This window comes from Homo sapiens, chromosome X, assembly GCF_000001405.40.
Source record: "Homo sapiens chromosome X, GRCh38.p14 Primary Assembly".
Classification (NCBI taxonomy): Eukaryota; Metazoa; Chordata; class Mammalia; order Primates; family Hominidae; genus Homo; species Homo sapiens.
The window spans coordinates 63,685,968-63,703,307 of record NC_000023.11 but is presented as its reverse complement, the minus strand read 5'-3'; the positions used below and the strand labels follow the sequence as shown (position 1 = coordinate 63,703,307).

The window sequence follows — 17,340 nt, the reverse complement described above, 5'->3', positions numbered from 1 at the left end:
ATGGAAGTTATTTGTCTTTCCAGAAAGTAGGGGGTGATATGATCCTGCTTTAAGGAGTTTCCAATCCAGCCAACCCAATCAAACCTTTTGTTGACAATTTGCTGGTTCCTTATTTTTCAACAATTATTGGTGCTGAAGGTAAGTATTTAAATGGGAGCTATCTCCTTTTCTCACCCTATAATCACGGGCATCAAAGGGAAGTGGAGAAAGCTGCATCTAGCTGGATCAGAAGACAGTAGTTTAGCCCAGGATTGTGTAATCTTTAAACCAAAAGCTGTGAGGAGCGAATGGTTTATCAGAAAGAATACCAGACTCAGAATTGGGAGTGCTGGGTTCAGGACCTACCTTGGTCACTAACTGACTGGGGAATCTCAGATGAGTCTTTTCACCCTAGGGCTTGTACCCCATCTCTAAATTGCATAGGTTGGAGGAGCTCTTTAAGTTCTGTTTGGCTCTTACTTTTTCTCTAGTTCTGTAAGATGTAGATATGCCCTCACTAGAGAAAAACTGTGATAGCGAGCCAGGCTACTTCTGCATTTTCTGCTTCTTCCTTCTTGGTACCATTGGAAGCATGTCTTACTCAAGCATGGATGTGTTAACATGGCATAAACCACTCTTTCTGTAGGTTATGGGAGAGCTCTAAACACTTCCTACTTTTGTACTTGTTGAAGGGGAAAGGGGGAAAATTATATTCAATATAAAAAAAGTCACACTATTTATTAGAGGACATTCTTTTTCCCTCCTGGGAGCAGAAAGTGCTTTACAAACATTTAAGTTATAACACCCTTATTTTACAAATGAAGAAGTAGGAAATAAAGGGGTTTTTAATTGAAGTTATTCAATGAGGTCAGTAAGAGACATAATCTTTTCAAATGAGTTCTCTGCAGATTACATTCTTCTTTCTAAACCCAGACAGTGGTATAAAATACCTTCAGTTTAGTTCTAGATCACCTTGACCAACAATTGGTGATATTGCCTCTTATAACCTTAGAACTCAAAGTACAATCAAGGAAACTGAGGCAAGAGTAAGCAGAGCTAACGATGCTTTATAAAGCTGTCTTGTCTGCTTTCTCTTGAGGAAGATAATCTCAGCCATCTGATACCTATGAAATACCTTCTGTCTTCAAATGCCTCCAGAGAAGCTGGCCTAGCTTTCCTCACTCACTCTGTATTAGTGATCATACCATTCACTATCAAGAAATTCTTCCTTAGGCATGCTGTAGCTTCAAGTCATTTCCATTTGGTATATTTTAAGCCTGAGGTTTTCAAACGTATTAGCCATTTGGGTTTTCCCTTCTGCAAATTGCCTATCTCAATACATCCCAATAGTCTTTACATCTTGGCACATAGAAAATGATAACACATTGTATAAGATAGTAATATTTGTACAGTATCCTAGGATAAAAATATGAGTCAGCTAGTCAGCCTAAAATGCCAAGCCCAGGGGTTTCTGCCTGCCATAGGCCCTACCTGTCCATTCTGTCTGGACATTCTGTGCTGTGTTCCTATACTTTGCCCATTTTCATGGAGTTTCTTATGTTTTTTTCTTGCTGATTTGTAAGAGTTCCTTGTATATTCTAGATATGAACTCCTTGTCAACTTTCCATGTTGCAGGTATCTTCTTTATTCTCTTGTTTTTGAATAACTTTTTTACTTCATTTGAAGAAAGGGTTTCCTATCTCAAAGAGAGGAAGAAGGAAATAAAAGAAAACCACCAATTTGAACATTCTGCTTCTAACTTACCTTTGATCATCACCAGCATGGGAAGAACTAATTAGCATTTAGTTGACAAATAACTGAGCAGCAACTATATGCCAGGTATTCTGTTAAACTTTGAGGATACGGCTGTGAATAACAACCATGGTCATTATCTCCTAATTTTCTTAAAAATGTCTTCAAGATGTTTGTCAGGTCGCCTATCAGGCCTCAGGTTCCAGGCAAAAAAAAAAAGACATATGAAACCCCTAGAATGTCAGAACTGAAAGGATCCATGGACATCTTTTTCGATGTCTTCATTTTAGAGACAGAGACACTGAGGTCTAAACTTTTTGTGAGGGCCCTTCCCTAAAGAATTTCCTAAACCCCAGATGATCCAGGGGCTGTTTGGTTCATCCTATTTTCTGGTAGTTTCTAGGATCTTTTCTGGAGATCTTGGGTATTGTTTATATCCCATATCAAGGCATTACTTCTAGATCAATGCACTAGGTCTCAACTCGTAGATCAGCCCTGGTGGGTTTAAGAACAAAGTGAAATAGATGGGCAGCTTTCCTTGCTGTTACCATAACAATGCCAGAGCTAATTTATGCCAGTTGTGACTGATTTGATAATACCCACATTTATCTTAGCTACTCTCTGGCCTGCCTTCCCACCCATGCCCACTTTACTCCTAGGAGACAGAGATTAGGCTCTAGGAAACTGCCTCCCTTGAGCCATAGTACCCTGTTCCCTGTTACCATTCAGATGGGGCGTTCAAAGCATACCTGGCAGTAAGAGCCACAGACCCCTTTTGTTCCCCCTGCCCTGTGACAGGCCTTCAATGGGCCCTGAGTGTTATCTAAGACAAACAAATTTTATGTCTTCCATCATTCTTCATGATGTTGCTTTTCAGGCCCCTCCCTACCCTGCTCACTCCCCTCTGGCTGTGTGCTATTTTCTTGGTGTTCCTCTGAAAAGAGGGTGGACTCAAAATTTAATTCTGCTCTCCTGCAGTGGTATGACTACCTTCCAATTGCCTCTCCCATTTTTGCCTCTCAATATATTTCTTCTTTTTTCTAACTGAAAATGGTATTAGGCTTTTTGACAATCACATTTCACTGCCAACTCATTTTAAACTTACATACCTTCAAAAATGAGTGAATGAGAGTAGACAAGTATTGATTGACCCCCTAATCTACCCTCTGTTCACCACTGATGTGGAAAATTTGATAGCCATCAGGCCAGCCAAAAGAAGGGGATAAAAAAAGCAAGACTCCAGGGAGCTAATCATTTCTCCTGGCCTTTCTTTTTCCAGAAACTTGTGTGGTATAGAGGTCGAGGGTGACCCTTTGGGGTTATCCAGCTACTCCCATATTCTTATGTCTCATCGCTTATTTTTTTGATAAGGGCAGTTTACATCTATTATTTGTAATCTTTAGCAAGTGACTATCTTAGATACTATGGCTGCAGGAGATCTTGAGAAGACATTGGGTCTTCCCTCCTCTTTCCTTGATAATATTTCATTCCAGGCAGCCTTCTTATAGCTGCATTTTCTTTTCTTTACACTCTCTGGCAAAGACTTTTATCCCATTTTTGATCATGAAGACAATTAAAAAACAGCATTAGAGGAAGTTTAAAAATAGGAACAAAAACCAGCCAGAATCCATCAACTATAACAGAATTATTTGCACTTTTGCATAATCCCTTCAAATCTGTCCATATGTGTATATATTTACAGAGTTGTAATCACACTGATATACCATTTTATGTCCTACTTTTTAACATTGTATCATAAACAATTTTCCATGTTTCTACATGGTCTTCCTAATTATCATTTTAACTGCTATGTAATATTTCATCAAGCTAAATGTACCAGAATATATTTATAATCTATCATTGGCTTTAAAAATAAGAGTTGATAAAACATTCTAAGGTCCTACCATCCTGTGGGCATTCTTCCTAATATATCCCCTGCCATAACATACATAATATAATAGAAAGAAAATGATTTCCTTGAGAGTGGCAATAAATAACATATTTAGGGACTTAGGAAGTTGGACTGAATTCTTTATTCATTGTCTTTTCCTAAGATCACTCTCTTAGTTTTATTTCTGTTATATTTTATGCTGATGTTGACTTCTAGTATCATTGTTGAATTCTGGTGATTTTATGGTGTTTTGTTTCTTCCCTGAGACTTTTCAAATAGGAGCAGTGGACACAACTATTAAATATTTTCTGAACTGGCTTCTCAGCAGATAAATGAGCTATCTACGCTGCCCTCTTCTGTCTCTCATTGTGGTCACTCATCAGTACCTATTGCTTACCCAGAAGTAATATGTTGAATGTGCCACTGTTACTGTTTTCCCCCAGCTGTGCTCCTCAGCCTGCCTTAGGGAAAAAAAAGTGGGAGAAGGGGTAAGGAAGCCTTCACTCCCATTTAATGTTGAGATGATATGCTCACTGCTCTCCCTGCTCCATTGTAGCTAAGACACGTCCAGAGATGGTAGGGTGAAAGAGACAGATAGACAGGCACACAGGCACAGACCAACCCAGACATACTAGGCTCTGGGAATTACATATTAGGTAGGGAAGGGCCTACAGGAGTTTATTGCCATTCCTTCTGGTAGTCAATGTAAAACTTTCTAGGGAGGCAGAATTTGGGGAGCAACCTCTGTAAAGGTAGTGGAGCCAAAAGGGTGTTCTGGGAATTTTCTTCCTGATCAAAAATTGCATATGAAAGAATGCAGGAAATTTTCAACATGTCAGTCAATGAGGGCACAAATCATTAGTTAAACAGATGTCAACACAGGCATAGACTATTAATTTGCCAACTATTTAAAGACACCTACTAATTAATGGCTAAATTGGAGAGTGAGAACAGATATGGGAAGGGGAAGTGAGATTTGTTGTAGAGGTCAGTAAAAGACATTGAAGCCAGGGATGAGGATCTTCTTGGAGTGTGCCCAGATGACCTCATTGGTAGCTGTGTTAAGGGAGACAAAGCGAGGATAGGGACAGGGCTATATGTGGTAAATCAGTCCCTGTAAAACTCTTCCTTAGGGGTTCAACCCTTAAGAAAAGTGTTAAGATAATTTCACTTAGCTTTTTGATGAAAGCAAATGACTATAATTTCTTCTCACCAAGAACATTTTTATGTGTTACTGATTTCTAATGAGGACAGTAACTATCAAGTGAAAACCTATGATAGTAGGTTCCAAATGGAAGATGCAATTTAGATTGGGGCTGTTTTTGTCCTGACTTAAGTATGCCTTGAGTCTGGTTTATGTTACCCCAATGCTTTCTTACTAGACCAAGAATCTCTTTCATCCTTTTTTTCTCTTTCATCAGTGGTTATCTTTATTAATGTGTTTTATGTGTTTAGGGCACATTTATGTGTTTAAGACACATGTGTTAGGTGTTAGGACATATTAACGTGTTAGGACACATTTATTTATAAATATATATATATATGATATATTTATAAATTTATATATATATATATAAATTTATAAATGTGTCCTAAACACCTGTTCTGTTAAAAACACCATGTCCAGGCACACATAGGCTTGTTGGCTGAGCTCATCTAAATGATCACTCCTGGCCAGCTACCTCAGATAGTTGAGAAATTTGCTTTGAGAAATGGTTTGACAGATATTTGCATAATGTGAATAGTATGAATGCATTTTCTTAAAGTATGTGAAGACATGAATGTCTAAGAAAATATTGTATGTGTACTTTGATGTACACAACAGGGAAAGTCTAAAATGATAAACAACTATTATTCCTGGTTATTTCCTGACATTAAAGTTCATGAGGAAACTTTTTTTTGAAGAAATGGTTTTGTTTTGTCAATTTCTGTTCCCTTGTGGGAAGTTTTTCTGTTCTGGCCTCTGTTCCCAATTTTTTGTCAATGTTATTAAGACCTTTGGTTTGGTCCTATAAGGAATAGAACTTTAGAGATGTGAATGGATCCAGCTAAACCAGTAGCTAATAAGACCTGTGAAAATGTGCTCAACCAGCTTCTTGGAAAGGGATATTTGACTTTGGGGGTCTTCTTCATAGAGGATGGAGGGAAAAGACTTTGGAGTCTTTGCACTCTTAAGACTTTTGCTGGCAACCCAGCTTTCCTAATTACTCACTGGGGGAGTGACTTCCTTCTGTAAACCTCAGTTTCCTCATATGAAAAATGAAAATAATTATTCCATGCCTACTTCTTGGGACCAAAATGAGGCTCTTAAGTGCTTAGGAAGTGTAAAGCCTTCTGGAAGTCAGGGACTTCCTCAGCCTAGGCTTTTTCTTTGTCTACAGGGCTATCTGAAGCAGTGCCGGAAGAGAAGGGACATGTTCAGTGACGAGCAACTGAAGGTAATCTTTGGGAACATTGAAGATATCTACAGATTTCAGATGGGCTTTGTGAGAGACCTGGAGAAACAGTATAACAATGATGACCCCCACCTCAGCGAGATAGGACCCTGCTTCCTAGAGCACGTAAGTATCTTATCCATTTGGGGAGGGTTTTGAGAGGTGTTAGGAAACAATGGAAGGAGCGTTTGAGCTGTCTGGTTCTGTTCAGCTCCTTTTTCCTGCAGTGGGGAATGGGTTCCTCTTGGGCCTTCATTTTGACCCCTGGTCTCTAGCCAGGAAACAAGGACTTAGAAAAGTGCTGTGATTTGCCCTATAAATGTTAAGCATGTGTATGACCTGCTGGTTCCATTCCCGAATGTATATTCCAGAGAAACTCACAGAAGTCCACAAGGGAGCACATACAAGGCTGTTGTTGATTGCATGGCAGTGTCGTATGTGGTGGAGTACCATTAGAAGCAACCTAGGATTCTCCTTCTTTACCATTCCCCTCCCCTCTCCCTTTCCTTCTTGGCAGTTACCAGTAGAATTTTTCTTCATCTTCCCTTTTTTGTTTCTGTTAAGTTTCCATGAGACTCAGTATTTTGGGAGGAATTCAAAATATTCACTGCACAGAGAATCAAGGAATCTGAGAAATAACAAGGACCATGGTTAGTAAGAAAGTGGTCCCTGCAAGACATTTATGGGAAGGGCACTGGAGAAGGTGAAGTGACAAAAATAGGAAAAGAACACATGGACTTCGAGGATGGAGCTCTGGGAAACAGGATAGTGACGATTTGAGTCCTGTATCTGTAGTGTCTGTCTGGGTTACTTTGGGCAAGTCCTTCATGGGCTTTGGTTTGTTCATCTGGAATGTGAGGTTACACTGTATGATCTCTCTGGTTCTTTGACATCATCTGAGTCTCATTCACAGGTGACCTAGTTGTTTTGACAGCATGTTTCCCCTTTTAATAAAGTATTTATTTTTAAAGATTTAATATGTGCACTTAATATAAAATTCAAATGACACACAAAAGCATGCAGCTAAAAATAAGCCTTCTTGGAAATATTCCTGTTTTACTTCTGAGACTCTGTGTTGGGGTGGGTTCCCTAAGATCACTCTTATGTTTAGTGATTTGGACTCAGAATATGGTTATATTGAATGTGGTTTAGGACTCAGAACATGTTTATACTCATAGCTATGATTTATTATAGCAAAATGATTCGAAGTAAAATCAGCAAAAGGAAAAGGCACACAGGGCAAAGTGCAGAGGAAACCAGGCACAAGCTTTCAGGAGTCCATCCCCCAATGGAGTCACACAGGATGCACATAAATCCCCTAGGAATGAGTTGGGACAACACATATAAAATGTTGTCTGCCAAGAAAACTCATTAGAGACTCAGTGTCCAAGGTTCTTATTGTGGGCTCATCATGTAGACACCTTCTGCCTAGTGTGTACTAAAATTACAGACTCCCAGAAGGAAAGCAGGTATTTAGCATAAACCACATTGTTTGTACAGGCAGTCTGGACACAGTGAGCCACTCTTATCAGGGAATAGTGGGGGAACCCTCTTGAGAACCAAGTTTCAAGATGCCAGTCAAGGGGAAATATTTCCAGCAGGTTTTTCTGAGAACAGCAATTTCAGGCCTGATACGATAACTCTTTTCTGTATGGTATGTAAACTCATTCAACCATTCTAGAAAGCACCTGGGTAGTATTTATAAATGTTAAGGATGTGTATGACCTTCTGGTTCCATTCTTGAATGTATATTCCAGAGAAACTCTCACAGAAGTCCACAAGGGAGCACATACAAGGCTGTTGTTGATTGCATGGCAGTGTCGTATGTGTTGGAATACCATTAGAAGCAACCTAGGTATTTATCACCAGGGAGATATATAAGTGGATGGGGTTTGCTTATTGTGAGGTATTATGTAGCAACAAACCGAAGACTAGATGTATGTACCTTATAGCAACATATATCAGAAACATAGTATTGAATGGGGAAAGTAGAATATAGAATAGTGGTTCTCAACCGGGGGCTGCCCTGTACATTGTAGGATGTTTAACAGCATTCCTGGTCTCTAGCCACTAGATGTCTGTAGCAATGCCTTGCTACCCAGTTGTGACAACCAAAAATGTCTCCAGACATTGACAAATGTCCCCTGGGGAAAAAAAAGAATCACTTATGTTTTGAAATGATAACATACTTTTACCTTTAATCTGTTAATGCAGTGAATTTGGATTGAATGATTTTCATATGTGAAATGAACATTGTATTACTGGGATAGACCCCACTTAAACACTGTGTGTTATCTCTTTTAATGTATTATTTTACCTTTTAAAATTAATTGTTTACCCTTTTATTAGTTCTAGAATTTCATTTTTATCAGCTTTACGTAGATATAATTTACATACAATAAGATTCATTCATTTTAAGTGATTTTAAGTGTATACTTTAAGGAGTTTTAACAAATGTATATAGTTGTGTAACCACCATAATAATCAAAATATAGGACATTTCTATAACTCCACAAAGTCCTCTTATCTAGACATTGCAAACAATCTGTGCCCCTACTCCTGGCTACTGGCAAACATTGATCTCCTTTTTATTTGAAATTTTGCTTTTTCTAGAATGTCATATATGTGAAATCATACAGTATATAATCTTTTATGTTTAGCTTCTTTCATTTAACATAGTGCCTTTGATATCCATCCATGCTGTTGCATATATCTTTCGTTTATCCTTTTTTATTGCTTAGTAGCACTCCATTGCATGGATATACCACCTATTCACAAATTAATGGATATTTGAGTTGTCTCCAGTTTTGAACTCTAATGCATAAAGCTGCTATGAACATTCTAGTACAATATTTTTTGAGAATATATGTTTTCATTTTTCTTGGTTAAGGACTTCCAGGGTTAGGGTTGCTAGGTGGCATGGTAGATTTTTTAGCTTATTAGATAATGCCAAACTATTTTCCAAAGTTTCTATACCATTTTGCATTTTCACTACTAATACGTAAGAGTTGAAGTTACTCCACATGGTCATCAACACTTGATATTATCAGTATTTTTTTTTTTTTTTGGAGACAGAGTCTTGCTTCGTTACCCAGGCTGGAGTGCAGTGGTGCAATCTTGGCTTGTAGCAACCTCTGCCTCCCAGGTTCAAGCAATTCTCCTGCCTCACTGTCCCAAGTAGCTGGGATTACAGGCATGTGCCATTACACCCAGCTAATTTTTGTCTTTTTAGTAGAGATGGGGTTTCACCATGTTGGCCAGGCTGGTCTCAAACTCCTTACCTCAAGTGATCTTCCCACCTCGGCCTCCCAAAGTGCTGACTGGGATTATAAGCGTGAGCCATCGTGCCTGGCCAGTCACTATTTTTTTTTTTAATTTTCGCCATTCTAACATGTAGGTGTGTAGTGGTATCTCATTGTAATTTTAATTTACATTTCCAATGTATAGTGATGTTGAGCATTTTTTCATGTGTTTATTTGCCATCTATATAAAAACTGGTGAAGTGTCTATTCATGTATTTTTCCCGTTTTAAGTGTATTGTTTGTTTTTTTATTGTTTAGTTTTGAGAGTTCTTTTATTAAAAATTAATATGTAATTTACTTATTTATGGGGTACATGTGGTTTTTTTTTTTTTTTTTTGAGATGGAATCTCACTCTGTGACGCAGGCTGGAGTGCAGTGGTGCTATCTCAGCTCACTGCAACTTCTGACTCCCGGGTTCCAGCAATTCTCCTGCCTCAACCTCCTGAGTAGCTGGGATTACAGGCATGTGCTACCACGCCCAGCTAATTTTTGCATTTTTTTAGTAGAGACGGGGTTTCACCATATTAGCTAGGCTCGTCTGGAACTCCTGACCTCGTGATCCATCCACCTTGGCCTCCCAAATTGCTGGGACTACATGTGGTGTTTTGATACATGAATACAATGTGTAATGATTAAATCAGGGTAATTGGGATAGCCATCATCTCAAACATTTATCATTTATTTGTGTTGGGGGCATTCCAAATCTTCTAGCTATTTTGAAACAAGCAATTAATTATTGTTAACTACAATTGTTTTTATAACTATTTTGAAATATGCCATTAATTATTGTTAACTGCTGTGATATCAAACACTAGAACTTATTTCTTCTATATAACTGTAGTTTTATACCCATTAAACAACCTCTCTTCATCCTTCTCTCCCCACAACCTTCCTAACTTCTGGTAACTACTACTATACTCTCCACCTCCATGAGATCAACTTTGATAGCCCCTACTCACATATGAGTGAAAACATATGATATTTGTCTTTCTGTGCCTGGCTTATTTCAGTTGACATAATGTCTTCCAGTTCCACCCATGTTGCTGCAAATGACAGGATTTTCTTTTTATAGCTCAATAATATTCCATTGTGTATATATAGCAACATGTTCTTCATCCATTGATCCATCAGTGGGCACTTAGGTTGATTCCATATCTTGGCTATTTTGAATAGTGCTGTGATAAACAAGGGAGTGCAAATATCTCTTCTGACATATTGATTTTTCTTCTTTTGGCTATATACAATATATACCCAGCAGTGGGATTGCTGGATCATATGGTACTTCTGTGTTTAGTTTTCCATACCATTTTCCATAATGGCTGTACTAATTTACATTCCGATCAGCAGTGTATGAGAGTTCTCTGTTCTCTGCATCCTCTTCAGCATTTGTTATTTTTTGTCTTTTTGATAATAACCATTCTAACTGCGGTGAGATGATATGTCCTTGTGATTTTGATTTGCATTTCCCTGATGATTAATGATGTTGGGCATTTTTCATATGCCTATTGGCCATTTGTATGTCTTCTTTTAAGAAATGTCTGTTCAGAGCATTTGCCCACTTTTAAATCAGATTATTTGTGTTTTTTTGCTATTGAGTTGTTTGAGTCACTTACATATTTTGGCTATTAATGTTTTGTCAGATGGATAGTTTGCAGATATTTTCTCTCATTCTGTATGTTGTTGCTTCACTCTGTTGATTGTTTCCCTTGCTGTGCAGAAGCTTTTTAGCTTGATATAATCCCATTTGGGTATTTCTGCTTTTGTTATCTGTGCTTTAGAGGTATTACTCAATAGAGTCTTTGTGCATATCAATGACCTGAGGCATTTTTCCAGTGTTTTATTCTAGTAGTTTTATAGTTTCAAGTCTTACGTTTAAGTCGTTCATCTATTTTGATTTTATTTTTTCATATGGTGAGAGATAGGGGTCTAGTTTTATTCTTTTGCATATGGACATCCAGTTTGTCCAAGAACATAAGTTGAAGAGGCTGTCCTTTCTCCAATATGTGTTCTTGGTGTCTTTACTGAAAATGAATTGGCTGTAAATGCATGGGTATATTTTGGGATTCTCTATTCTGTTCAATTGGTCTATGTGTCTGTTTTTACTTCAGTACCATGCTTTTTTGGTTACTATAGCTTTACAGTGTATTTTGAAGTTAGGTAGTGTGATGCCTCCAGCTTTGTTCTTTTTGCTCGGGATTGCTTTGGCTATTCTGGGTCTTTTGTGGGTCCATATGAACCTTAGGATTTTTTTCCCATTTCTGTGGTGAATGTCATTGGTATTTTGATAGAGATTGCATTTAATCTGTAGATTGCTTTTGGTAGTATATTTTAGCAATATTAATTTAACAATATTAATTTAATATTAATTAATTGCATTTAATCTATAGGTTGCTTTAGGCAGTACATTTTAACAATATTAATTCTTCCCATCCATCAATATGGGATATCTTTCCCTTTTTGTGTGTAGTTGTCAATTTTTTTCAGCAGTGCTTTTTATTTTTATTTTAGAGATCTTTCACTTCTGTGGTTAAATTTATTCCTATTTTTTTTTAAATCCTGTTTTAAATGGGATTGCTTTTTTGGTTTCTTTTTCAGATTGTTCACTATTGGCAAACAGAAGTGCACCTGCTTTTTGTATGTTGATTTTGTATCCTGCAACTTTACTGAATTTGTTGATCATTTCCAGCATTTCGTGTGTGTAGGTAGTCTTTAGGTTTTTCTAAATATAAGATTATATCATCTGCTAACAAGGATAATTTGATTTCTTCCTTTTCAATATGGATACCCTTTATTTCATTCTCTTGCCTAAATTGCTCTGGCTAGAACATGCAGTACTACACTGAACATAAGTGGTAAAAGTGGGCATTCTTGTCTTGGTCTAGATCTTGGAGGAAAGGCTTTTGATTTTTTTCCTGTTCAGTATGATGATAGCTGTGGGTTTGTGATATATGGCTTTTATTATTTTGATGCATGTTCCTTCTGTACCCAGTTTGTTGTCTTTTTCTCATGGAGGGATCTTGAATTTTATGAAATGCTTTTTCAGCATCTATTGAAGTGATCATACAGGTTTTGTCCTTGGTTCTGTTAATGTAATGTATCACGTTTATTTATTTGCATATGTTGAACCAAACTTTTGTCCCTGGGATGAGACCCACTTGATCATCGTGAGTGATCTTTTTAATGTGTTGTTTAATTCAGTTTGCTAGTATTTTGTTTGGAATTTTTGCATCTATGTTTGCCAGTAATATTGGCCTGTAGTTTTCTTTTTTTGATGTGTTTTTGTCTGGTTTGGGTACCAGGGTAATGCTGGCCTCATAGAATGAGTTTGAAGTATTCCTCCTCTTTACTTTTTTGAAATAATTTGCATAGAATTATTATCAGTTCTTTTTTAAATGTTTGGTGGAATTCAGCAGTGAAACCGTAAGGTCCTTGGCTTTTCTTTGATGAGACACTTTTTATTACTGTTTTGATCTTGTTACTTGTTATTGGTTTGTTCAGGTTTTCTATTTATTCATGGTTCAATCTTGGTACGTCATATGTATCCAGGAATTTATCCATTTCTTCTAGGTTTTCCAATTTGTTTGCCTGTAGTTGTTCATATTCTCTGTAATGATCCTTTGTATTTTTGTGGTATCAGTTATATTCTCCCTTTTCACCTCTGATTTCATTTATTTGAGTATTCTTTTTTTCTTAGTCTAGCTAAAGATTTGTTGATTTTGAGTATCTTTTCAAAAAAAACAACTTTTCATTTCATTGATCTTTTGTATTTTTCAGCCTTAATTTCATTTATTTCTGCTCTGGTGTTTGTTATTTATTTCCTTCTACTAGCTTTGGGTTTGGTTTGTTCTTGCCTTCCTAATTCTTTGAAGTGACTTGGTAGATTATTTATTTGAAGACTTTCTTTTTCTTTTTTGATGAAAGCTTTTATTGCCATAAATTTTCCTCTTTGTACTGCTTTTGCTTTATTTCATAGGCTTTAGTATCTTGTGTTTTCATTTTCATTTGTTTTGAGAAATTTCTATTTTTTAAAAGAATTTTGTTATTTACCCACTGATCATTCAGGAGCAATGTATTTAATTTCGGTGTATTTGTACAGTTTCTTAAGTGCTCTTCTTACTGATTTCTAGTGTTGTTTCATTGTGGTCAGAAAAGACACTTGATATTAATTTGACTTTTTAAAATTTGTTGAGATTTGTTTATGGCCTAACATATGGCCTGTTTTCAAGAATGTTCTATATGCTGATGAGGAAAATGTGTAGTCTCCAGCAGTTGGATGATATGTTCTGTTATTTTCAGTTACGTACATTTGGTCTATAGTACAACTGAAATCCAGTATTTCTTTGTTGATATCTTGTCTGGATAATCTGTTCATTGCTGAAAGTGAGTGTTGAAGTTCCCTATTATTATGGTGTTGTAGTCTGTCTCTCTGTTTAAATCTACTAATATTTGTTGTGTATATTTGGGTGCTCCAGTGTTGGGTGCATGCGAATTTATAATTGTTATATCCTGTAGCTGAATTGACCCATTTATTATTATATAATGACATTCTTTGTCTTTTCTTACAGTTTTTGACCTGAAGTCTGTTTCGTATGATATATGTGTAGCCACTGCTGCTCTTTTGTGGTTTCTATTTGTACGCAGTATCTTTTTCCATCCCTTCACTTTTAGTCTCTATGTGTCTTATTCACTAGAAATTCACTTAAAGAAGTGAACTTCTTGAAGGCAGCATATAGTTGGATGCTGTTTTTTTTAATCCATTCAGCCACTCTCTTTTAATTGGAGAATTTAGTCCCATTTACATTCAATGTTATTTTTGAAAGGTAAGGACTTACTACTGCCATTTTGTTATTATTTTCTGATTGTTTTGTAACTCCTGTCTTCCATTATTTTACTACTATCTTCCTTTGTTGTTTAGTGATTTTTCTCTGGTGGCATGTATTAATTATTTGCTTTTGTTAGTGTATCTTTTACAGGTTTTTGCTTTGATGTTACTGTGGGGCTTAGAACATCTTATTATAAACTGATGACAACTTAACTTTGATCAAAAGAAAAATTAAAAACTAAAATCTCTAAAATTTAAGTCCATTACTTCCCCATTTTAACTTTTTGTTTTCTCAGTTTACATCTTTTTATATTGCCTATCCCTTAATAAATTGCCTTTTTGTTTTGTTTTGTTTTTGAGATGGAGTCTTGCTCTGTCTCCCAGGCTGGAGTGCAGTGGCACGATCTCGGCTCACTGCAACCTCTGCCTCCCGAGTTCAAGCGATTCTCCTATCTCAGCTTCCTGAGTAGGTGGGATTATAGGCACGTGCCATCACACTCAGCTAATTTTTGTATTTTTTAGTACAGATGGAGTTTCACCATGTTGGCCAGGCTGACCTTAATAAATTGTCATTATTTTTGATAGATTTTTTTCAGTCTTCATACTAAAGTTGTGAACGGTTTACACACCACAATTCAGTATTTGTCTGCATAGTTTATTCTGAATTTGTCTATATACGTTTACCAGTTTATTTTATAACTTCAGGTGTTTTCTTGATACATATTAGTGTTCTTTTAAGATTGAACAACTGGCTTCAGCAGTTCATGTAAGACAAATCTTCTGTTGATGAATTCCCTCAGCTTCTGTCTGGGAAAGTCTGTATCTCTCCTTCATGTTTGAAGGATGGCTCTGCTGGGCACAGTATGGGAGGTTTTTTTGTTGTTGTTGTTTTGTTTTTTTCATTCAGTACTTTGAATATGTTGCCCCCCTCCCTCCTGCCCTGTAGGACTTACACTGAAAACTCTGTTACCACAGGAATTGAAACTCCTTTATATGTTATTTGCTTCTTTTCTCTTGCTGCTTTTAAGATTTCCCTCTTTGTCTGTTAACCTTTGAGAGTTTGATTATTATATGCCTTAGGGTAATCTTATTTAGATTGAACATGTTTGGTTGTCTTTAACCCTGTACCTGGATATTTATATCTTTCTCTAGGTTTGGAAAAGTCTCTGTTATTATTACTTTGAATAAGCTTTCTACCTTTTGTTCTTTCTCAACATCCTCTTTAAAGCCAATGACCCTTTGACTTGCTCTTTTGAGGCTATCCCCTAGATCTTGTTGGCGTTCTTCATTTTTCTCATTATTTTTTCTCTTCTTATTGTGTATTTTCAAATAGTCTTAGGGCTCACCGGTTCTTTCTTCTGCTTGATCAATTCTGTTGTTGAGACCATCCCATGTATTTTTCAGTTTGACTATTGTATTTCTTAGCTCTAGGATTTCTGTTTAATTTTTTAAAATTTCAATTTCATTGTTAAATTTCTGTAATACATTTCTGAATTGCTTTTCTGTGTTACATTGGCATTTTCTGAGTTTCCTGAAAATTGCTATTCTGCATTCTTGATCTGAGAGCTCACACAACATCATCTCATTAGGGTCAGTCACTGGCTCCTTATTTTGTCTATTTGGGAATGTCATGGTTTCCTGTTTGCTCTTTCTATGGATATATGTCTGTGCATTTGCATTGAAGGATTAGTTCTTTATTCCAGTCTTCACTGTCTGGCTTGGTTTGGTCTTTCAGAAGTATGTCTGTCTAGAGGTTTTGTGCAGAGTGACTATTTAGTTCCCTTAGCCTGAGATCACTGCCTCCTTTTCAACACTAGATGGCACCCTGAACCCAGATTTGACATAGTCTTTCTCAATTTCAGAGTGCTACTCATCCTGGATGGGGAGGAATCCCAAAGATACCCCAGCTCTGTGGGAAAGCTGGATGGAGGTTTGTTCCCAGAGGACTGATGAAGTGTGCTTCCTGCAACGTGATGCTGTTAAACAGCCTTTCTGATTTGGTGTCTTTTTTGAGGTCAGATGAAGGGAAGCTGGAGTTTCATGCACTGGGTGTTGCTAACCCCACCCCCACCCTCTAACTCTAGCTGCCTTTGGGATTTTTTACTCTGCAGGCATTCAAGAGGCTTCTTACAGGTTGAGGCAGGAATAATTTTTCTGGAAAGGAATCTAAGATGGTGGGGAAGCTAGCTGTCCACTTTTATTTTTTCCAGTATTATAGGAACCTTGATTTTGAGGGTGCCTTTCTACACAGTGCCTGGCAGCTTGGGGAAGGAGCTATTTTACCTTTTGCTTGCAGTTTTTCAGTTCTCTGTGGCCTCTGGGATTGTCACAACTTCAGTCATTGAGTTCTGGAATATTCCTTTTGATAATCTGGGCAGTGGCTAGTTCTTTTTGGTTTTCTGTGGAGGAGAGTAAAGCTACATATACTGTGCTATTTTGGTGACATTCTCAGTTATGAGAATTATATATTTTGTTAACAAGTCCTTTGTCAGATAAGTTATTTGCAGACATTATATCCCAGTCTGTGGCTTAGCCTTTCATTTTCTTAACTGTGTCTTTTCTAAGTTGTGCATATTTATGGAGTATGTGAGAAATTTTTAACATATGTATAATGCATAGTGATCAAGTCGGGTTTTAGGGTACAATGCATTTTTTTTAAGTATAGTCATCCTACTCTGCTATTGAACATTGAATGTATTCCTTCTATCTTATGTTTGTACCCTTTAACCCACTTATCTTCATGTTCTCCCTTCTCACCTGCTCACACTTCCGTCTCTGTTATTTTTCCACCCTCTACCTCCATGTGTTCAAATTTTTTAGCACCCCCAAATAAATGAGAACATGTGATATTTGTCTTTTTGTGCCTGGCTTATTTCACTTAAGACAATGACCTCTAGTTTCATCTACGTTGATGCAAATGACATAATTTCATTCTTTTTATGGCTGAATACTATTCCATTGTGTAGAAGTACCATATTTTCTTTATCCATTCATTTGTTGATGGACACTTAGATTGATTCCTTATCTTTGCTATTATGAATGTTGCTGCGGTAAATATGCAAGTGCCAGTATTCCTTTGATATAATGATTTATTTTCTTTAAGTCAATACACAGTAATGGGATTGCTGGATTGAATGGTAATTCGATTTTTAGTTTTAA

General features: G+C 36.9%; 1 protein-coding gene across 27 annotated transcripts in view; it reads left to right on the top strand.

Moving 5' to 3' along the window:
* ARHGEF9 (Cdc42 guanine nucleotide exchange factor 9) overlaps positions 1-17,340 on the top strand; it is a 150,248-nt gene that overhangs the window by 81,907 nt on the left and 51,001 nt on the right. For 26 of the 27 annotated variants that reach the window (NM_001173479.2, NM_001353922.2, NM_001353921.2 and 23 more), the window contains one exon: positions 6,004-6,183. In NM_001173479.2, coding sequence (NP_001166950.1) covers positions 6,004-6,183 — 180 coding nt within the window. Of the gene's footprint in view, positions 1-23; positions 139-1,665; positions 1,819-6,003; positions 6,184-17,340 lie in introns of all 27 variants that reach the window. The other variant, NM_001369045.1, reaches the window with a different exon arrangement.